Raw genomic sequence first — 23,666 nt, 5'->3', positions numbered from 1 at the left:
TTTAGAAAAGAAAATGTGTAAAAGGAAATGACATGAAAAAGAAGTGGCAGATGGGGCAGAAACAGGGAGACATCAAGTCAATCACAAACTGCACAAAGTAGGCATTCAATATTCACTTCCTTAATTACATTATTTGTTGAAAGCTGAATTTGCCTTTAAGAAACATTTACTCCTACTTAGTTTAAGTGTGTCTTCCTAGAACCAACAATAAGCTGTTGCACCAACTAGCAAAAACAAGCTTCTGACTGCATGCTCTGATTGATGAGATGAAAAAACAACATTCCTAATTAGCATTTCAAATTCATGAGTAAAATAGTCAACAGACTGCAATAAAAACAAAATAATTTAAACACACACAAGCAAATTACCCTCTTTTCTTGACTCTCTCTTTTAAATAAGGCAGGAAGATAACTTTCTGTTTTTAAATTATTTTTATTGCATTTTCACATTACATATAATACTTGCTTTTCCAATATGAACATCACACAGTTCATATTTACTTTATAGCAGGAAAGGCATAGATAATATTTACCAATTTTTTTTAACTGAAAACAGCAATGGAGGTTAAATGGATAGTGTAACTGTCACTGAACTTCTGTTTTATTTTGAGCCTAGCAATGGGTGTGTGCTTAGGTTTCCTTATATAGTTTTGTGGATTAAGGGCCTAATCCTCTGCTGTCCTATAGCTTCCATTTTTCAAATTATGCTGTTAATAATGTGATTATATATAAAAAATTACTTACAGTGCAATTTCAATGCATTTTGAAGAAGTAACTTGTGTCTTTGGAATTTAAAGTACTGATTCAAAACAAAGGAAAGATTTAATTCTTATTTTACTTTCCCCTTTACATGTCTTTATTAACCACTTTCCCACTTATATTTTGCCTATATAGGCAAAAGATACAGATTTTGCTGATATTTTAATGCTCCTGAAAATTAGTTATTTTCTTAGAACCCATAATTTCAAACATAGTAGTGTTAAGATTTTTCTGGAAAAGGAAGGGGAAAAGCTGAATACCTATCAAATACCTTTTCTGTATCTTCTTCTTTGTGTGCTGAGTGTTTTATATGACAGCTCATTTCTTTTTTTTTAAATTTTATTTCATTATTATTATACTTTAAGTTTTAGGATATATTGCACAATGTGCACGTTAGTTACATACATATACATGTGCCATGCTGGTGTGCTGCCCCCATTAACTCGTCATTTAGCATTAGGTATATCTCCTAAAGCTATCCCTCCCCACTCCCCCCACCCCACAACAGTCCCCAGAGTGTGATGTTCCCCTTCCAGTGTCCATGTGTTCTCATTGTTCAATTCCCACCTACGAGTGAGAATATGCGGTGTTTGGTTTTTTGTTCTTGCGATAGTTTACTGAGAATGATGATTTCCAATTTCATCCATGTCCCTACAAAGGACATGAACTCATCATTTTTTATGGCTGCATAGTATTCCATTGTGTATATGTGCCACATTTTCTTAATCCAGTCTATCATTGTTGGACATTTGGGTTGGTTCCAAGTCTTTGCTATTGTGAATAGTGCCGCAATAAACATACGTGTGCATGTGTCTTTATAGCAGCATGATTTATACTCCTTTGGGTATATACCTAGTAATGGGATGGCTGGGTCAAATGGTATTTCTAGTTCTAGATCCCTGAAGAATCGCCACACTGACTTCCACAATGGTTGAACTAGTTTACAGTCCCACCAACAGTGTAAAAGTGTTCCTATTTCTCCACATCCTCTCCAGCACCTGTTGTTTCCTGACTTTTTAATGATTGCCATTCTAACTGGTGTGAGATGGTATCTCATTGTGGTTTTGATTTGCATTTCTCTGATGCACAGTGATGGTGAGCATTTTTTCATGTGTTTTTTGGCTGCATAAATGTCTTCTTTTGAGAAGTGTCTGTTCATGTCCTTTGCCCACTTTTTGATGGGGTTGTTTGTTTTTTTCTTGTAAATTTGTTTGAGTTCATTGTAGATTCTGGATGTTAGCCCTTTGTCAGATGAGTAGGTTGCAAACATTTTCTCCCATTTTGTAGGTTGCCTGTTCACTCTGATGGTAGTTTGTTTTGCTGTGCAGAAGCTCTTTAGTTGAATTAGATCCCATTTGTCAATTCTGGCTTTTGTTGCCATTGCTTTTGGTGTTTTGGACATGAAGTCCTTGCCCATGCCTATCTCCTGAATGGTAATGCCTAGGTTGTCTTCTAGGGTTTTTATGGTTTTAGGTCTAATGTTTAAGTCTTTAGTCCATCTTGAATTCATTTTTGTATAAGGTGTAAGGAAGGGATCCAGTTTCAGCTTTCTACATATGGCTAGCCAGTTTTCCCAGCACCATTTATTAAATAGGGAATCCTTTCCCCATTGCTTGTTTTTCTCAGGTTTGTCAAAGATCAGATAGTTGTAGATATGCGGCGTTATTTCTGAGGGCTCTGTTCTGTTCCATTGATCTGTATCTCTGTTTTGGTACCAGTACCATGCTGTTTTGGTTACTGTAGCCTTGTAGCATAGTTTGAAGTCAGGTAGCATGATGCCTCCAGCTTTGTTCTTTTGGTTTAAGATTGACTTGGCAATGCAGGCTCTTTTTTGGTTCCATATGAACTTTAAAGTAGTTTTTTCCAATTCTGTGAAGAAAGTCATTGGTAGCTGGATGGGGATGGCATTGAATCTATAAATTACCTTGGGCAGTATGGCCATTTTCATGATATTGATTCTTCCTACCCGTGAGCATGGAATGTTCTTCCATTTGTTTGTATCCTCTTTTATTTCATTGAGCAGTGGTTTGTAGTTCTTCTTGAAGATGTCCTTCATGTCCCTTGTAAGTTGGATTCCTAGGTATTTTATTCTCTTTGAAGCAATTGTGAATGGGAATTCACTCATGATTTGGATCTCTGTTTATCTGTTATTGGTATATAAGAATGCTTGTGATTTTTGTACATTGATTTTGTATCCTAAGACTTTGCTGCAGTTGCTTATCAGCTTAAGGAGATTTGGGGCTGAAACAATGGGGTTTTCTAGATATACAATCATGTCACCTGCAAACAGGGACAATTTGACTTCCTCTTTTCCTAATTGAATACAGTCTATTTCCTTCTCCTGCCTAATTGCCCTGGCCAGAACTTCCAACACTATGTTGAATAGGAGTGGTGAGAGAGGGCATCCCTGTCTTGTGCCAGTTTTCAAAGGGAATGCTTCCAGTTTTTGCCCATTCAGTATGATATTGGCTGTGGGTTTGTCATAAATAGCTCTTCTGATTTTGAGATACGTCCCATCAATACCTAATTCATTGAGAGTTTTTAGCATGAAGGGTTGTTGAATTTTGTCAAAGGCCTTTTCTGCATCTATTGAGATAATCATGTGGTTTTTGTCTTTGGTTCTGTTTATATGCTGGATTACATTTATTGATTTGTGTATATTGAACCAGCCTTGCATCCCAGGGATGAAGCCCACTTGATCATGGTGGATAAGCTGTTTGATGTGCTGCTGGATTCGGTTTGCCAGTATTTTATTGAGGATTTTTGCATCAATGTTCATTAAGGATATTGGTCTAAAATTCTCTCTTTTGGTTGTGTCTCTGCCAGGCTTTGGTATCAGGATGATTCTGGCCTCATAAAATGAGTTAGGGAGAACTCCCTCTTTTTCTATTGATTGGAATAGTTTCAGAAGGAATGGTACCAGTTCCTCCTTGTACCTCTGGTAGAATTCGGCCGTGAATCCATCTGGTCCTAGACTCTTTTTGGTTGGTAAGCTATTGATTATTGCCACAATTTCAGAGCCTGTTATTGGTCTATTCAGAGATTCAACTTCTTCCTGGTTTAGTCTTGGGAGGGTGTATGTGTTGAGGAATTTATCCATTTCTTCTAGATTTTCTAGTTTATTTGTGTAGAGGTGTTTGTAGTATTTTCTGATGGTAGTTTGTATTTCTGTGGGATCAGTGGTGATATCCCCTTTATCATGTTTTATAGCGTCCATTTGATTCTTCTCTCTTTTCTTCTTTATTAGTCTTGCTAGCGGTCTACCAACTTTGTTGATCCTTTCAAAAAAGCAGCTCCTGGATTCATTAATTTTTTGAAGGGTTTTTTGTGTCTCTATTTCCTTCAGTTCTGCTCTGATTTTAGTTATTTCTTGCCTTCCGCTAGCTTTTGAATGTGTTTGCTCTTGTTTTTCTAGTTGTTTTAATTGTGATGTTAGGGTGTCAATTTTGGATCTTTCCTGCTTTCTCCTGTGGGCTTTTAGTGCTATAAATTTCCCTCTACACACTGCTTTGAATGTGTCCCAGAGATTCTGGTATGTTGTGTCTCTGTTCTTGTTGATTTCAAAGAACATCTTTATTTCTGCCTTCATTTTGTTATGTACCCAGTAGTCATTCAGGAGCAGGTTGTGCAGTTTCCATGTAGTTGAGCAGTTTTGAATGAGTTTCTTAATCCTGAGTTCTAGTTTGATTGCACTGTGGTCTCAGAGACAGTTTGTTATAATTTCTGTTCTTTTACATTTGCTGAGGAGTGCTTTACTTCCAACTATGTGGTCAATTTTGGAATAGGTGTGGTGTGGTGCTGAAAAAATGTATATTCTGTTGATTTGGGGTGGAGAGTTCTGTAGATGTCTATTAGGTCCGCTTGGTGCAGAGCTGAGTTCAATTCCTGGGTATCCTTGTTAATTTTCTGTCTCACTGATCTGTCTAATGTTGACAGTGGGGTGTTAAAGTCTCCCATTATTATTGTGTGGGAGTCTAAGTCTCTTTGTAGGTCACTCAGGACTTGCTTTATGAATCTGGGTGCTCCTGTATTGGGTGCATATATATTTAGGATAGTTAGCTCTCCTTGTTGAATTGATCCCTTTACCATTATGTAATGGCCTTCTGTCTCTTTTGATCTTTGTTGGTTTAAAGTCTGTTTTATCAGAGACTAGGATTGCAACCCCTGCCTTTTTTTGTTTTCCATTTGCTTGGTAGATCTTCCACCATCCCTTTATTTTGAGCCTATGTGTGTCTCTGCACGTGAGATGGGTTTCCTGAATACAGCACATTGATGGGTCTTGACTCTTTATCCAATCTGCCAGTCTGTGTCTTTTAATTGGAGCATTTAGTCCATTTACATTTAAAGTTAATATTGTTATGTGTGAATTTGATCCTGTCATTAAGATGTTAGCTGGTTATTTTGCTCGTTAGTTGATGCAGTTTCTTCCTAGCCTCGATGGTCTTTACAATTTGGCATGATTTTGCGGTGGCTGGTACCGGTTGTTCCTTTCCATGTTTAGTGCTTCCTTCAGGAGCTCTTTTAGGGCAGGCCTGGTGGTGACAAAATCTCTCAGCATTTGCTTGTCTGTAAAGTATTTTATTTCTCCTTCACTTATGAAGCTTAGTTTGGCTGGATATGAAATTCTGGGTTGAAAATTCTTTTCTTTAAGAATGTTGAATATTGGCCCTCACTCTCTTCTGGCTTGTAGAGTTTCTGCCAAGAGATCCGCTGTTAGTCTGATGGGCTTCCCTTTGAGGGTAACCCGACCTTTCTCTCTGGCTGCCCTTAACATTTTTTCCTTCATTTCAACTTTGGTGAATCTGATAATTATGTGTCTTGGAGTTGCTCTTCTTGAGGAGTATCTTTGTGGTGTTCTCTGTATTTCCTGAATCTGAACGTTGGCCTGCCTTGCTAGATTGCGGAAGTTCTCCTGGATAATATCCTGCAAAGTGTTTTCCAACTTGGTTCCATTCTCTCCGTCACTTTCAGGTACACCAATCAGACGTAGATTTGGTCTTTTCACATAGTCCCATTTTTCTTGGAGGCTTTGTTTGTTTCTTTTTATTCTTTTTTCTCTAAACTTCCCTTCTCGCTTCATTTCATTCATTTCATCTTCCGTCACTGATACTCTTTCTTCCAGTTGATTGCATTGGCTCCTGAGGCTTCTGCATTCTTCATGTAGTTCTCGAGCCTTGGCTTTCAGCTCCATCAGCTCCTTTAAGCACTTCTCTGTATTGGTTATTCTAGTTATACATTCATCTAAATTTTTTTCAAAGTTTTCAACTTCTTTGCCTTTGGTTTGAATTTCCTCCTGAAGCTCGGAGTAGTTTGATCATCTGAAGCCTTCTTCTCTCAATTCGTCAAAGTCATTCTCCGTCCAGCTTTGTTCCATTGCTGGTGAGGAGCTGGGTTCCTTTGGAGGAGGAGAGGCACTCTGCTTTTTAGAGTTTCCAGTTTTTCTGCTCTGTTTTTTCCCCATCTTTGTGGTTTTATCTACTTTTGGTCTTTGATGATGGTGATGTACAGATGGGTTTTTGGTGTGGATGTCCTTTCTGTTTGTTAGTTTTCCTTCTAACAGACAGGACCCTCAGCTGCAAGTCTGTTGGAGTTTGGTAGAGGTCCATTCCAGACCCTGTTTGCCTGGCTACCAGCAGCAGTGGCTGCAGAACAGCGGATTTTCGTGAACCGCGAATGCTGCTGTCTGATCATTCCTCTGGAAGTTTTGTCTCAGAGGAGTACACGGCCTTGTGAGGTGTCAGTCTGCCCCTACTGGGGGGTGCCTCCCAGTTAGGGTGCTCGGGGGTCAGGGGTCAGGGACCCACTTGAGGAGGCAGTCTGCCCATTCTCAGATCTCCAGCTGCGTGCTGGGAGAACCACTGCTCTCTTCAAAGCTGTCAGGAAGGGACATTTAAGTCTGCAGAGATTACTGCTGTCTTTTTGTTTGTCTGTGCCCTGCCCCCAGAGGTGGAGCCTACAGAGGCAGGCAGGTCTCCTTGAGCTGTGGTGGGCTCCCCCCAGTTCGAGCTTCCCGCCTGCTTTGTTTACCTAAGCAAGCCCGGGCAATGGCGGGCGCCCCTCCCCCAGCCTCGCTGCCACCTTTCAGTTTGATCTCAGACTGCTGTGCTAGCAATCAGCGAGGCTCCATGGGTGTAGGACCCTCTGAGCCAGGTGCGGGATATAATCTCCTGGTGCACCGTTTAAGCCCATTGGAAAAGTGCAGTATTGGGGTGGGAGTGACCCGATTTTCCAGGTGCCGTCTGTCACCCCTTTCTTTGACTAGGAAAGGGAACTCCCTGACCCCTTGTGCTTCCCAAGTGAGGCAATGCCTCACCCTGCTTCGGCTCGTGCATGGTGCGCTGCACCCACTGTCCTGTGCCCACTGTCTGGCACTCCCTAGTGAGATGAACCCGGTACCTCAGATGGAAATGCAGAAATCACCCATCTTCTGCATCACTCACGCTGGGAGCTGTAGACCGGAGCTGTTCTTATTTGGCCATCTTGGCTCCACTCATGACAGCTCATTTCTATGTAAGTATATTATCCTTATTTTACCTCTGATGAAACTGAAACTTAGTAACTGGCCCAGGGTCACACTGCTAGAAATAGCTGAGCTGGAATTGAATGCATGTCTGTTGAATTACAAGGCCTGGGCTCTTGTCCACGTAGGGACAGAAGACAGAATTATGCAACAACGGGAGGAACCTCAGAGATGTCCTAATGCATCATGACAAACCCTCTGTCCCTCTCCTGCCTGATTACAACTCTGCCAAATACACACATTTCACAGACAAAAACACTGCTAATCAGGTCATTCAAATGCCTCACCAACTCACAGGTTACACAAATGGTGAATGTACTCATACAAAGTGACATTCAACAGTTTTAAAGATGAAAAATTATTGACTTTTAGTTTCTCCTCCACTCCCCTGCTTAAAGTCAACTTTATTGGGATTATAATTTGTATTCGGAAAACTCCATTTATTTAAGGTACACAAATTAAGAAGTTTTGAGAGATGTGTACACTCTTGAAACCACTCCAATGGTCAAAAAACAGAAGATTTCTACCATCCCCAAAAGATACCCTCTGTTCCCTTGTACTCTATTATTCCCTCTACCCACACCCCAAGGCAAAAACTGATCTGCATTGGTTGCTATTGATTAGCTTGTGTGTTCTACAATTTTATATAACTAAATTCATATTCAGATAGATTCCTTTGTGTCTGAATTCCTTCCCTTAGCATGATGATTTTGAGATTCCTTCATGATGTTTTGTGTGTTAGTAGCTCATTCCTTTGTATTGCTGGGTAGTACCCCCTTATATGGCTGCACCACGTTTTGTCTCTCCATTACCTGTTGAAAGACATTTGGGTTATTTCCAGTTCTTATAGCTACAGCAAATAAAATTACTGTGAATATATGTATACAAACTTTTATGCTGTCATATGTTTTCATTTTTCTTGGGTAAATACCTCAGAGTGGGATGGTTAGGGTGTATGTAAAGCGTATGTTCAACTTTTAAAAAATTGACATCTTCCAAAGTGGTTACACTCTTTTACATTCCCACCAGCAATGCTGCATTCCAATGCCTCGACATGCTTGCCAGCATTTAGTCAAAGTTTTCAGTCTTTTTAATTTTAACCATTCTGGTAGACATATAGTGGTTTTCATTTACATTTCTCTGATGACCAATGATGTTGAGCATCTTTTCTTGTGTTTATTAAACGTAAGAATATCTTCATTTGAAAGTGTCTATTCCACGATTTTACCATTTTCATAGAATTTCTTATTATAGAGTTGTAGTGTTCTCTGTCTATTCTGTATACAAACTTTTTTGTAAGCTATATACTCTGGTGGTTTTATAGTTATGTGTACAAATTCTTGGATACTCATCCACTCAAGAGGTAGAGCTTAATTCAGCTTCCCTTTTATATGGGCTGGATTTAAGGACTCACTTCTAACAAATAGAACATCACAGAGTTATGGGATGTTGCTCCAGAGAGTAGATGATAAAATGACCGCAGCTGCCATCTTTAGTGCACTCACTCACTTCTCTCTCTTCAGCTACTCACTCAAGGAGAAGGGAGCTGCCATGTCCTGAGGACAGACAAGAGGCCTTATGGGAGGCTCATGTGTCCAGAAACTGAGGTAATCTTCTGGATCTTCTACCAGTAGCCACATAAGAGGGCCTGAAAGCGGATCTTCCCCAAATTCAGTCTTTAGATGACTTTATCCCAGCCAACAGCTTAATTGCCATTTCCCAGATTTTGGCCCACAGAAACTGTGAGATAATAATTGTTTGTTGTTTCAAGTTTCTAAGTTTTGTGGGTAATTTTTTATAGAGCAATAGATAACTAACACGTAACATTGCAACAATTTTCTCCAATTCCATGGCTTGCCTTTTTATTTTTCTAAAGGTGTCTTTTGAAGAGCAAAAGATTTTAATTTTGACAAAGTCCATTTTATCATTGTTTCTTTAATGGTTCATTATTTGGGCATTTAAGAACTCTTTGCCTTCTTCAAGAACATAGAAATTTTCTCCTATGTTTTCCTCTAGAATTTTTATCATTTTGGTTCTTAAATTTACATTTACCATCCATTTTTGCTGGTACATAGGAAATCCTTTTGCAGGACCTTTCCTTAGTTCAGCTAAAGATGAGCTTCTTTGTCCCATGGCCATGAAAATTCAGGCTCACAGACAATTTGAATGATGAGTAGGACAGGGTTTTATTAGGTGAAAAGGAAGAAAAGGGGCAAACAGGGACTCTCGCAAGGCCAGAGTCCCTGCTAGAGTACTTGCCACACGCAGCTTGAGTCCCAGGTTCCACACAGGAAGAGGAGGGGCCGGGCTCTTCCCCACTGCAAATGGCACAAACTTCCCAAGGTTCCACCCCCATGTGCATTCCTCCCAGTGGGCAGACTTGTTGGAGATTATCCAACAAGACCCCCTCTCACCTGGCACACTCATTATCTCTTGAATGAATGACAACATTCATTTTGTATCTGAGGTAAGAATCAAGATTCATTGTTTCCTTACAAACATCCAGTTGCTCCACCATCACTTGTTGAAAACTTTCTTTTCCCCATCAAATTTCCATCTTTGTAAAAAATCAACTGATCATAAATATAAGAGTCTATTTCTGGGTTTTTCTGTTCCATGCATCTATATATCTACCCTTCCACTACTACCATACAGTCTTGATTATTTAACACTATATAAAGTCTTGAAATTGGGTAACATAAGACCACCAACTTTGTTCTTCTTTTTAAATTTATTCAGTAATTTGCATTTTCATATATATTTTATAATTAGCTTCTGAATTTCTAAAAACTAGCATGCTGACAGTTTGATTTGGAATATATTGAATCTATAGATGAATTTAGGAAGAATTGAACTCTTAAGAAAATTCAATGTTTACTGTGTATTTTTTAAAAAATTATTGATTCAAGGGCACATTACTAGTATTGGAAGATCATACTTTAAGGGAAATTCTGTTGTGCAATTATGTACCTTTTTCTGAAGTTACTTTTGCATACGCCTCAGTTTCCTAGTCTATAAAGTGGGAAAATGGGATACTTACCTCTGAGGATCACAACTGAAATATTAGAGAGGGTATAAATATGGGATAGAGTCAAGTAAAAGAATGAAAGGGCCAGGCGTGGTGGCTCACGCCTGTAATTCCAGCACGTTGGGAGGCCAAGGTGGGTGGATCACGAGGTCAGGAGATTGAGACCATCCTGGCTAACACGGTGAAACCCCGTCTCTACTAAAAATACAAAAAATTAGCCAGGCATGGTTGCAGGCACCTGTAGTCCCAGCTACTCGGGAGGCTGAGGCAGGAGAATGGCGTGAACCCAGGAGGTGGATCTTGCAGTGAGCTGAGATCTAGCCACTGAGCCACTGCACTCCGGCCTGGGTGACGACAGAGCAAGACTCCATCTCAAAAAAAAAAAAAAAAGAATTAAAGACATGTAGTCTTATTCAGCTCTAAGAACTTTGGGGGATAAATATTTTTTAGAATAATTTTGAAAAAGAATTATTTAAGAATGCATCTTAACTAGTAAATTTATTTTGTTTTCGGTTCATTTTCTGGTGACCTACAAAAACAAGCAGCCAATATTTTATCCAAACCTGATAAGGAGCTGGCTTTGTTTCATTCATTTGTTCAACATTCATTTACTATGTACCAGCATGGATAAAGCACTGGGTACAGGGTATGCGTGTGTATGTGTGTGTGTATTATTGGTGTGCATAAGTACACCCATAATTGTATGTGTCTTTCTTTGTATTTGTACCTTTTGATGAAAACTCCTATAATTGTTCTTCTCCTCCTCCCCCAATCTTTTGAGCTAAGATTGAAATTATGTATCACTGATTATTTCAGCCTGTTCTCAACATTGTTTCTTTCAGCTTATTTTGTCCCTGATATTGTTGCAAAAACGTGATTTCTCTGGCCTTTGCTCTGAGGTTTGAAGGAGGGGAAGAAAGAGACTGAAGTTAGAGGTAATGATCATATGATGATCTTTTCCTGTTTCAGATCCCAGGCCATAAGCATCCCACCTTACAGGAAAAAAAACAACAGCCAACAAATATTTACTAGGTGCCTGGATTTAGTATATTGGAGGCTGTTTATGTCAATATCATCACAACTTGAACTACACTGTTTATCTGTGATGGTGGAAGAATGCTGAAAAGATGTAGGCAGAGCTGTGAGGAGGCTCCAGCAACCATCCAGGTGAAAAGCGATGGAAGTCAGGACCAGTGGTGACAGCACAAATGGAGAGAAGTGGATGGGAAATATGGGAAATATCACAGCTGCTGATGGATTGGATACAGGATTTGAGAGAGAATGATGCCCAAGTTGCCACAACTGCAGGATGCCGTTATGTTCACTGAGATTTGGGAATAGTGAGTGTTGGTCAGGGTTAGTAGAGGGAACATGGTGAATTTGTTTTGTTCATGTTGAATTTAAGATGTTTTTGAGATGACCAAGTGGATACATGAGGACATGCTTGACCTGGTATTCAAAGGAAAGACATGGACTGGAGATACACATTTCCAAGTCATGGCCATGTGGGCAGGAATTCAATCCTGATCATAGAGTTTGCCTGAGGAAGAAGTATAGAGCAAGAAGAGGACAGGGCCCAGGAATGGGTTTTTGGGAATTCTGATATTTAATGGTCATATAGAGTAGCATGAGTCTGAAAGGGAATTAAGGAAGAACAGAGAGAAAATTTAGTTGAAAGACCAGTAGAGGCTGAAAGCCAGAAGAAAATAGTGTTTCAAAAAGGTGTAGATTACGGAAGTGGGGCTATAGTGTTCAATGCTGCTGAAAATTCAAGTAAAATGAAAACTGGATGAACACACAATTTCATAGCAGGATATAGTTTCCAGCTAAGGAGAGTCTTATTTGTGAAAGAGAGAGAGAAAGAAAGAAAAGGAGGAAGATGGAAGGAAGGAAGGAAGGAAGGAAGGAAGGAAGGAAAGGGGAGGGGAGGGGAGGAAGGATAATTTCTTAGGACAAATAAATCAAAACAACCCAGAAGTGTGATTTTTGGCACTTTCTACCTATGGATTGGAGATTTCAAATTTCAGATTCCTCTTTTCATCTACCTATGGATTGGAGATTCAAATTTCAGATTCCTCTTTTCATCTACCTATGGATTGGAGATTTCAAATTTCAGATTCCTCTTTTCATTATCTTCTTTAGCTAGTAAGAAGAAAATAACTTTCTTTACCTTTTGACAGACTGGAATACATCGACGTTCTCCCTTGAGAAAAATTCTAAATGTGGGATTATCTAGCTTTAAAAAAAAAAAAAACAACAAAACAAAAATCTTCGACTACCTTTGGCAGTCTATTCCAGAAGGAACTGTCAGGATCTGCAAGCATCTTGAGTCCTGTAAGATCGGTTCATGACGTCGCTACAGCCTGGAGTCCTCAGCAATCAGAAACCCAATAGATGCAGTTTACGAACACAATTTAGACAATCTGGAATTGGCAATGGTGTAGAAATTCCTTTATATTCACTGGTAAAGCAGCTTTCAGATACTGAGAGAAGCATATCCAAGCAAACTAAAGTTGGAGGCTATTATGAAAATATGCAATGTTTCTAAAGTTGCTTTTTGACACAAGGACTTTTTGTTTCTTAGCAAATAGAATTTTAGACCCAAAGTCAAGAAATCTGAACTTAATTTTGTTAAATAAACCAACTTTATGATGTAAACACGCCATTTAGGCCTTCCGAGCTTCAGTTTTCCCCTCTTTAAATTTAAAACATTTCTACCCAACTCTCATTGTTGTCTCTGTGATCAAAGATCATGCCCATAAATGTGCTTTAAAAACACCAAATGAGTCTGGGTGTGGTGGCTTATGCCTGTAATCCCAGCACTTTGGGAGGCTGAGGCAGGTGGATCACTTGAGGCCAGGAGTTCGAGACTATCCTGGCCAACATGAAGAAATCCCCATCTCTACTAAAAATACAAAAATTAGCCAGATGTGGTGGCGGGCATCTGTAATCCCAGCTACTCAGGAAGCTGAGGCAGGAGAATCGCTTGAATCCAGGAGGCGGAGGCTGCAGTTAGCTGAGATTGCGCCACTGCACTCCAGCCTGGGTGACAGAGCAAGACTCTATCTCGAAAACAAAACAAAACGAAACGAAACAAAACACAAATGCCACCAAATGATATAAAAATGCCATAAATATATTTTTATTAATCTTTTAAACATGTTGAGTATGGCTTAAATTTCCAAAGATGGTTAAGAACCAACAAAACAGCCCTCTGTTTTCAGCAGAGATTTTAAGACTTTTTAAAATTTACACATTATAATTTATATCCTATAATTTCCATGGTATTTTTAAAAGTTCTACCCTGATGCCCTCTCAAAAACAAACAAGTAAACCCACAGTAAATGTCTAACTTTGGCTTTGCCCTAACACTTTTTAAAAAAAAAAAATAAACCTCACCTTATTTAGGTGGTAAAAGTCACTTCACACATCAGCTTCAATTCTCACCTTCCCATGAGATCTTCCCTGACTTTAGCCATAGTGACTGTCCTGTCTGTGGTTTTTAGCCACAGGGCCCAGCACGCACTGTGCTTTTTCACTCTGTTCTCTAATTGGGCATGTGCGTGTTCTGCTTCACCAGGTTCAATGATGATCAGGAGAGATGGCGTTGAACAATTCCAGGTACCAACCATAGTTCTTTCTTAGTTCCTCACAGATCTTAATCCATGCATACACATGTGTTTGTTAAGTTTTTAAATTTAAATAGCATGGAGCAGTGGAGTAGAGAACAGACAGTACAAAAGCCTCCAGCTTGGCTTTGTCATTCACTAGCTATTGGCACTGAGTAATTTACCCAATGCCCCTGAACCTTCTTTATCAATAAAAAAGGAAGCTGGGCTAAGTCTAGTTAATTCTATGATAACCAAAATTACATTGATAGATTCCATCCAGCAGTTAACCTTTAAACTCTCTTCCTACAAAGCTGACAACACCTTAGGTCTCTTTTCAGTCTAATCTCTGGTTGCTCTTACTATTAATACTATTACTATTATTAACATAGTATTCCTTGAGCATCTACTAGGTGTTATGCCCCCGTGCCAAACACTTTCCTTGTATTATCTCATTTAATATTCACCTCACTGAGATACTGTACCAATTGGGACTTACAGTGCAAGCTATAGAAACCAATTTGGGCTGATTTAAGGAGGATATCAGGCAGCTTATAGGATTATGGAAGGGCTGGAGAACCCTTTTGAGGCTCTACAGGCTGGAGTACCGCTTAAAAATCACACAATTGAACCATTTTGGTGAGGTGACCACTGCTACTCTGGGAATTGGCTAGTGCATCCTGTAGTGCTAACCACTGGGACTACCATCCCTGCCACCACTGCTGCTCCTGAACTTGGTTCTTCTACCACCATCCACTGTGAGAAGTCATTTGTTAACTGCAGCTCTGGGGCAGGTGCCCACACCATAATTACAAGGGAGGCTGGGAGAGCAAGTAGCTGACATTATATAGTGAACGCATTCCTGAGTCACAGGAGGGAGACTCCACACACTGGACAACCAAAAAGAATGGCAAATGTCCACTGTAAATATCCTCACTATTATTATCTCTATTTATCAAACCAGAATATTGATGTTTAGTAAGGTTAAATAACTTGTCCAAGGCCATAGAGATGGCTAGTGGCCAAAGCAGGCTGTCTGGCCCCATACACTACAGTCTCTCCAACAATGCTCTTCCCGCTCAGGCTCAATAACTTCCAGTGAATGGGAGGCTCCAAAGAGGTTAGCTTGGATTGTAGATTTAATTTACCTTTATCATTATGGTTGTCATCATCAACATTATCACTATATTTAAAGACAATCTGCAAAGTTGTGACTCAATGACCAATCTACTCACAAACCCCTAAGTCACTTAAATGTACCCATAGACATGAAGATGAATTTCTATTTTTAAAAAAAGAAGTTCTCATAGGCAAAAATGAGAATAGAAAAACACCTCTGGTTAGAGATAAAGTGATAACTCACAACTAAGGAGCCAAAGTTCAGCCACAAGCTAGTACAGGAAACTGTGGTCCCATCTCCTAAGACAGCTACCATTTTACAATGAAACAACAACAGCTCTCCAAATCTCAGTGTGTTCTCCCTGCAGTTGTTTGCATTGCAATTATGGAAGAGGAAAACTGCAGGTCCTCTGATAATAGCTCAGTGGAGAGAACGCTGCACACTTAAGAATAGAATCTACATCAAGAAAGTGGGGAAAGCAGTCCTGTTCCTCCTCCCCACCCACCTTCAGACTGCTTTTTCCTAGAGCGTAGGAGAGTTGCTAGACAGCCAATTCCTGATTATGTGTGGTAAGGAGGAAGGAGAAGGAAGGACAACATGGACAGCCCCCAAACCACATTTTATGGCTACAAGCATTGTCTCCTTTACCACAGAACTTTTGCCAGAACTGAACATTAGAAACCAAATCTCTAACTGGGGGTTGTTGTCCTGCCTTTCCCCAGCCCTGGCTGCCAGTCCTTTTTGGTAGAGGAGGTTATAAGCAAGTAAAGGGCCCAAAAGCCCAAGTATAAGGAGATGGCAGGGAGAATTCAATAGCAGGAATAATCCACAGAAACCAGAAAGGCAGCTACTCATTTCTGAGGGAATCAAGAATTAGCTACATTCTTGCTCTCTAAGCAACAACTGTCATGTGATCTTGTTTAAATACTGAGGTTTGATCAATTTCTAAAAATTATTTTGATTTCCCAAAACACATATGTATAATCTGCTCCATCTCAATGAAGAAAGTGGGTTAAAAATGTGTACTCACTCACCCTTAGTCATCTGATTCTAATTTAGAACACACTTTTCCTGGCTTTCTACTACAACCAAAACTATTCATTGCACTGATCATAACAATTCTCCTAAAACAGGCAATAAAAGGAGCAGAACTTCCTCCTGTGGCCAGAAACTTTCCCAAAGCTTAGGCCTTCCAGCAATTACATGCCTTTTCACTGCAGTACCTTAACCTATTGCTAATAAAGCCTCTTTGGCCAGTCAGAGTTGCCATCTTTAGAGACAGAGGGCAAAAACAACAAAAAAAGGAGACACTCTCAGAGCGGTCATTTATTCAAACTGCCCCATCCGAGAAGCCTCTATTCTTGGTAAGGAGGAGCCCACTTAGGAGACTACATAAAAGTACACATCAAGAGAATTCTGAGATAAAATTTTATATCCTGAATGATTAAGAATGGTGTTTCTAAAACAAACAATGGTTTTAGTAATAGACCCTTCAATGGCTAAGTGCACCAACATTATTATTTTTTATTTTTTATTTTTGAGACAGAGTCTCACTCTGTTGCCCAGGCTAGAGTGCAGTGGCATGACCCCAGCTCACTGCCAGCTCCAACTCCCAGGTTCACGCCATTCTCCTGCCTCAGCCTCCCGAGTAGCTGGGACTATAGGCACCCGCCACTACGCCCGGCTAATTTTTTAGTAGAGACGGGGTTTCACCGTGTTAGCCAGGATGGTCTCGATCTCCTGACCTTGTGATCCACCTGCCTCGGCCTCCCAAAGTACTAGGATTACAGATGTGAGCCACTGCGCCCAGCCAACATTATTTTTAATAATTAATGAACTACTTAAAAGAGGAGGATTATTTGTAAGGATTTTGAAATAATGGAATAACTTTTAGAAAATTATACTTCTGTCATTTGTAGCCCTGATTGGCTTAATTTATTTTACACATCCAAGGCTGATGTACTATAATCAATACAATGAATAGCCCCAGCAGTCAGTCCACAAAAGGATTTTTAGGGCTGTTTGGTGTCCATTACTCTGAGAAGCAGATGAACTGAATTTGAGTGTCAAAGGTATACCTTAATAGAGAAGTTGTATAAATTGCCCAAGATCACACAGCCAGCCCAAGAATCTAGTCGTCTGACTCTGCTCAGGGCACTTTCCTTCCATTGTTTGGACTTTCTGCTTTAAGGAACAGATTTATCAATTTGGTGAGAAAAAAAAATGTGATGAGATTTTCAAGAAATGTGCCAGGAACACACACTGCAGAAAAGACAGTCTCTTCAATAAATGATACTGGGAAAATTGGATATCCATATGCAGAAGAATGAAACTAGACTTTTATCTCTCACCATATACAAAAATCGACCAAAATGGATTAAAGAATTAAATCTTAGACCTCAAACTATAAAACTACTACAAGAAAACATTGGGAAAAATCTCCAGGCCATTGGTCTGGACAAAGATTTCTTGAGTAATATGCCACAACCACAGGCAACCAAAGCAAAAATGGACAAATTGGATGGCATAAAAAGCTTCTGCACAGCAAAGGAAATAATCCACAAAGTGAAGAGATAACCCACAGAATGGGAGAAAATATTTCCAAACCACCCATCTGACAAAAGATTAATAACCAGAATATATCAGGAGCTCAGACAACTCTATAGGAAAAATTCTAATAATCCAATTAAAAAATGGACAAAAGATTTGTATAGATATTTCTCAAAAGTAGACATACAAATGGCAAACAGACATAGGAAGAGGTGCTCAACATCACTGATCATCAGAGAAATGCAAATCAAAACTACAATGAGATATCATCTCACCTTAGTTATAATGGGTTTTATGCAAAAGACAGGCAATAACAAATGCTGACAAGGAAGTGCAGAAAAAGGAATCCTCATACACTGTTGGTGGAAATGAAAATTAGTGCAATCACTATGGAGAACAGTTTGGGGGTTCTTCAAAAACTAAAAGTTAAAAATAGAGCTACCATATGATCCGGCAATTTCATTGCTAGTTACATACCCAAAAGAAAGAAATCAGTATATCAAAAGGATATCTGCATTCTCATGTTTGTTGTGGCTGTGTTCACCATAGCCAAGATTTGGAAGCAATCTAATTGGCCATCAACAGATGAATGGATAAAGAAAATGTGATACTTATACACAATGGAGTACTATTTAGGCATAAAAAAGAATGAGATTAAGTCATCTGCAACTTGGATGCAACTGTTAAGTGAAATAAGCCAGGCACAGAAAGACAAACATCACATGTTCTCACTTATTTGTGTGATCTGAAAATCAAAGCAGTTGAACCCATGGAGATAGAGAGTAGAGTGATGGTTACCAGAGGCTGGGAAGGTGGGGATGGTTATGGGGTACAAAAATAGAATGAATTAATATGCCCTAGTGTTTGATAGCACAATAGGATGACTACAGTCAATAATAATTTAATTGTACATTTTAAAATAACTAAAAGACTATAATTAGATTGCCTGTAACACAAAGGATAAATGCTTGAGGTGATAGATACCTCATTTTCCATCATGTGATTATTACACATTGCATGCCTGTATCTAAACATTTCATGTATCCCATAAATATATACACCTACTATGTACCCACAAAAATTTAAAATCATACTTTTAAAAAAGTCATAAGACATCAGCTAAAGACAACCACTCAAATGGAGAACGATTACACACAATCTTCACTGTTCTCCCCAAATTTGTTTTTAGAAAACCATTTCAGTGTCTATGGAAACATCTGCTGTTTTCCTTACATGAGATGCACGCTCCCCTGTTCTCTGCTTCTCCGAATTCTGCTAGGCCTTCAAAACTCAGCATGAACCCTATACTACTCCTCAAAGAAGTCCTGCTTGATCACTTGATACCTCTTCTCATAAAAATAGAGGCAACACAAGAAAGAGGTGACAAATGAGGGTTTTAAAGTCAAACAAATCTGGATCCAAAATCTGCTCTTTACAGGCTTTTGGGTTACTTATCCATGAGGTGAGATCATATATACTCATATAATGTTTAGCTTTAAAACAAAACAAAACAAAACCTTTATAGCATTTATAGACAAACTCAGAGGCTCACAAAGAGTATTCTGAGCTCTCTGGCAGTCTAACAATGGATTATATTGGTCATAATTAGTCTCTTCAATATTTGGGGTAACCAGATAGAGCTTGAGGCAAGTCGGGTGGCTAAAGTCTGCCAGGCTCACCACCTCTGGCCATGAACAGTTCCTTGGTTCCCACAAGAGACAACATGATGAATTGTTTCTAGTACTTGCTGCTCTACTCAACATGCTGAGTATAGGGAAGAGGGTCCTTTACTGCCAGGTCATCTACATCAGCTACCATCTATCATGGATGAGACACAAGCCCAAAGTTGCAAAGGGTATCCAACGTTCTGCCTTGGGAGTGTCATATGCCCTTGCTTTTTCATATTTCTTGTGCTCTTATGTTAGTATCTGCCATCCAGTGTAACAGTTGCTTCTTCTGATTTTTTGAATTTGCTTTTTTAGGGAATGATGTTTTTTTGAAGATGTATCTATGGTTTTGGTTGGGTAGGACACTTTAGCTTTGATTCTGAGTATACGCAGTAGTTTGGTCGTTGTATGATTTCTTTGGCTCTAGACAGCATCAGTAGTGTCTGTGACTTCCTCAGTGGCACAGGCTATGGTTGTCAGTGTAGTCCGTAGTGCAGTTTTGTTGGCATAAGGACTCCAGGTGAACTTGTCCTTGAGTCCAAGTGGTGGTGGCAGCATGCTAAGCATGCCTGTCCTTGGGCCTCTCGGTGGCGTACACAAGCACCAATGTTACTGGGTCCAAGTAAGCCAATTCGTGGGCCTCCAGGTGGCTGCTCAGGTGCTGGTAGTGGCAACAATAGCTGGGCAGGTAGGTGGGTCTTTTGGCCCCTGGGCAGCATGTGTGATGTGAGTGATGGCTGTAGCAGTGGTAGGACAACCAATGGGCACAGGCTTGTGTTAGAATTGCTTTGACAGGCTAAGTGTGTCAGTACTAAGACCTCCAGGTGGTAGATGTAGATGGATACCGGCTATAATGGTAGCAGTAGCCTAAGTGGAGCCATCCTCAAGCTCCCAGGAGAAGTGCACAGATGCCAACAATGGTGGATGGCGGGAGCAATATCCAGATTCCTGGAAATTGTGTTTAGTCACTGAGGAACAGGGGGAGTGCCAGACCAGATAGACCCATCCTTGGGTCCCCTAGTGGTGCACACATGCACAGGCTGTGGTAGGCAAGATGGTCTTATTTCGAGGTTCCCCAGTGGAATGCTTGGGTGGCAGTAGCAACAGCTGCAGTGAACAAGGAGACCCCACCTCAGGGCACAGGCAAGTGCACTATGGCCTTGCTGCTGGGGAAACAGGGTTGCTACCAGTGGCAGCAGCCACAGGCAAGCAGCAGTCAGGCTCTGGGGAGGGCATGCTTCAGCCCCCAATAATGGTAGCCTTGATGGTGGCAATGGTAGCTGCAGGGAGAGCAGCCCTCAGTGTGCGTGCCAGTGTGCAGCATCCCTGCTGCTGGGGGTAAAGGGGTTGCTGCCAGTTGTGCACACCTTTGCCCCCAGCAGCAGCAGTGTCAGCAGTTGTAGGCTGAGAGAGCTTTTCCTCAGAGCATGTGCAAGGGCACTGAAGCTCTATTGTTGGTGAGGACTGGGTTCCTGTCAGTGGCAATAGCCCCAGGCAAGTGGATTTTGGGCTCTGATAAGTGCATGTTTGTCCCAAGGAGAGCTTTCCCAATGCATTGCACCACGCATTTTCCAGGACACAATACATTATGTGTGCTAGAGTGCTGGGAACCCTACTGCTCCCCTGAGTCCAACCAGTGTTACACTGCTGCAGACCTCCAGGTAGACAAAGGAGGATGTCAGTGTGGCTTCAAGGATGTGTAGATGCAGGGGCTGCTGGGCCCCAAGGCAGAATGCAGGCAAGTGGGGACTAGGCTCTCAAAGTGGCATTGTGCTGCAGCTGCTAGGACTCAGAAGATGGTCTGGAGCACAGTGTGAACTCCCTCTCTGGAGCAATGTTATTATGTGATATCTATGCAGCTCTCTCTGCTAGTCCCAAGGTCAGCAATGCTTGAGGAGCTCTCCAATGGCTAGGGTTGCAGGAGTCCATGGTGGAAATGTAGACCACTGGGTATCTCTCATTTATCCATTCCCCACACTGGTGAGTGACTCTGGGATCCCAGCTGATCAAAGGCTGAGCTGGGCTACTTTGCTTCCTTCTCCGTCCATGCCTTGGGTGTTTCCTGTAATTTCTCTGTTGAATTCCAGTGTTCTCTCTTAGATGCTTTCTTGGAAGTGTGATTATCTGCTTGCTATTTTGGTTATTCCTTGTGGACGAGGTAAGTGCTGGATGCCTCTAGTTAGCCATCCTGAATTCCCTCTTCCCAAAATAATTTAACGAGAAATTACTCAGGGTTTTTCTTTTTCTTTTTTCTTTTCCTACTGAATCTAGGAATTTAAGGAAATTTCTATCAGAATAATGGCTGATCACAAGAAAATGGAACAGAGAACTCAATGACTACACATCACAAGGAATATAGTTCAGGAAAAAATGCAGGCAAAATTTTCTAAACAAATAACAACAGCATCCATCCCTCACCAAGCAATAACAGCAATCCCCAAGGAGGAGGTGAATTTGATTTCCAGAGTTGCATGTTACAATAGTGAAAATGTCCAGTTCTCAATTTAATATTGTAAAGCATACAAACAAACTGGAAAGTTTGGCCCATTCACTCAAAAGTGAAAGAAGTTGACAGAAACTATCCCTAAGGAAGCCCAGACATTGGGTATACTAGACAAAGACTTCAAATTAACTCTCTTAAATGTAATCAAAAAACTGAGTGAACCAGGAACAAAGAACTACAGAAAATCAGGAGAATGATGTATAAACAAGCAGGGACTACGAACAAAGAGGTAGAAATTACAAAAAGTAGCCAAACAAAATTTTTGATACTTAAAAAATACAATGGCTGAAGTGAAAATTTCACTAGATGGTTTCAACAGCAAATTGGAGCAGGCAGAAGAACAAGTGAACTTAAAGATAGGGCAATTGAAAGTGCCCAATCCCAGGAGCAGTAAGAAAAAATAATGAATAAAAGTAAACAAAGTATAAGGGGGGCTGTGGTGCACTATCAAGCAGACTAACATACATATTTTCAGAGTCTCAGAGGAGCAAAACAAAGAGAGCAAGATGAAGAGACACAAAGAAAGAGAGAAAAGGAGATAGCTTATTTGAAGAAATAATGGTAGAACACTGCCCACATTTTATGGGAAATATAAATCTACGCTTCTGAGATGCTCAACAAATTCCAAGCATGCTGAACTCAAAAAGAACCATACTGAGATATAATCAAATTTTTGAAACAAAGAGGAAACATTGAAACCAGCAAGAAAAAAAGTGCCTTCTCAGGAACATGAAACAAATTTCTCAACAGAAACCATAGAAGTCAGAGGCAATGGAATGATATATTTAAAGTGCTGAGAGAAAAAAAAAAAAAAGGCCAGCCAAGAATTCTATATCTGACAAAAAATATCCTTCAAAACTGAAGGTGAAATTAAGACATTTCTAGCTTTAAAAAAAATTCAGTTTGTCAACAGTAGACCTTTCCTATAAGAAATGCTTAAAGGAGGTGGCTGGCAAGATGGCCAAATAGGAACAGCTCCAGTCTGCAGCTCCCAGGGAGATCAATGCACAAGGTGGGTGATTTCTGCATTTCCAATTGAGGTACCTGGCTCACCTCACTAGGACGGGTTAGACAGTGGGTGCAGCCATCGAAGGGCAAGACAAAGCAGTGTGGGGCGTTGCCTAACCTGGGAAGCACAAGGGGTCGGGGAACTCCCTCCCCTAGCCAAGGGAAGCTGTGAGGGACTGTTGTGTGAGAAACGGTGCGTGAGTACCCAGGTACTACACTTTTCCCACAGTCTTCACAACCCTCAGACCAGGAGATTTCCTCCAGTGCCTACACCACCAGGGCCCTGGGTTTTAAGCACAAAACTTGGCAGCCATCTGGGCAGACACCAAACTAGCTGCAGGAGTTTTTTTTTTTTTCATACCCCAGTGGCACCTGGAACACCAGCGAGACAGAAGCATTCATTCCACAGGAAAGGGGGCTGAAGGCAGGGAGCCAAGTAGTCTAGCTCAGCAGATCCTACCCCCACAGACCCAGCAAGCTAAGATCCACTGGCTTGAAATTCTAGCACAGCATTCTGAATTTGACCTGGGATGCTCCAGCTTGGTGGGGGAAGGGGTGTCCACCATTACTGAGGTTTCAGTAGGTGGTATTCCCTTCACAGTGTAAACACAGCCACTGGGAAATTTGAACTGGGCAGAGCCCACCACAGCTCAGCAAAAACGTTGTAGCCAGACTGCCTCTCTAGATTCCTCCTCTCTGGGCAGGGCATCTCTGAAAGAAAGGCAGCAGCCCCACTCAAGGGCTTATAGAAAAAAACTCTCATTTCCCTGGGACAGAGCACCTGGGGGAAAGGGTGGCTGTGGACACAGCTTCAGCAGACTTAAACGTCCCTGCCTGCTGACTCTGAAGGGAGCAGTGAATTTCCCAGAACAGCACTCAAGTTCTGCTAAGAGACAGACTGCCT

The 23,666-nt window shown here is 40.7% G+C and overlaps 1 long non-coding RNA gene across 5 annotated transcripts in view, besides 2 other annotated features; it reads right to left on the bottom strand.

The window, feature by feature from the left end:
- The window catches only part of SLC38A4-AS1 (SLC38A4 antisense RNA 1), a 268,904-nt gene that overhangs the window by 27,836 nt on the left and 217,402 nt on the right, over positions 1–23,666 (bottom strand). The gene's annotated exons all lie outside the window — the stretch shown is intronic.
- Positions 6,332–6,832: an enhancer, noted in NCBI's record as "H3K4me1 hESC enhancer chr12:47011695-47012195 (GRCh37/hg19 assembly coordinates)". NCBI's record gives its function as "activates a minimal SCP1, AML or CMV promoter by ChIP-STARR-seq in naive H9 embryonic stem cells {active_cell/tissue: H9 hESC(naive)}" and the evidence as "EXISTENCE:reporter gene assay evidence [ECO:0000049][PMID:30033119]".
- Positions 20,016–20,535: an enhancer, noted in NCBI's record as "H3K27ac-H3K4me1 hESC enhancer chr12:46997992-46998511 (GRCh37/hg19 assembly coordinates)". NCBI's record gives its function as "activates a minimal SCP1, AML or CMV promoter by ChIP-STARR-seq in primed H9 embryonic stem cells {active_cell/tissue: H9 hESC(primed)}" and the evidence as "EXISTENCE:reporter gene assay evidence [ECO:0000049][PMID:30033119]".

The sequence above is a fragment of the Homo sapiens genome, chromosome 12, assembly GCF_000001405.40.
Source record: "Homo sapiens chromosome 12, GRCh38.p14 Primary Assembly".
NCBI lineage: Eukaryota > Metazoa > Chordata > Mammalia > Primates > Hominidae > Homo > Homo sapiens.
The sequence above is the reverse complement of the archived record's forward strand: the minus strand, read 5'-3'. Positions and strand labels throughout refer to the sequence as shown.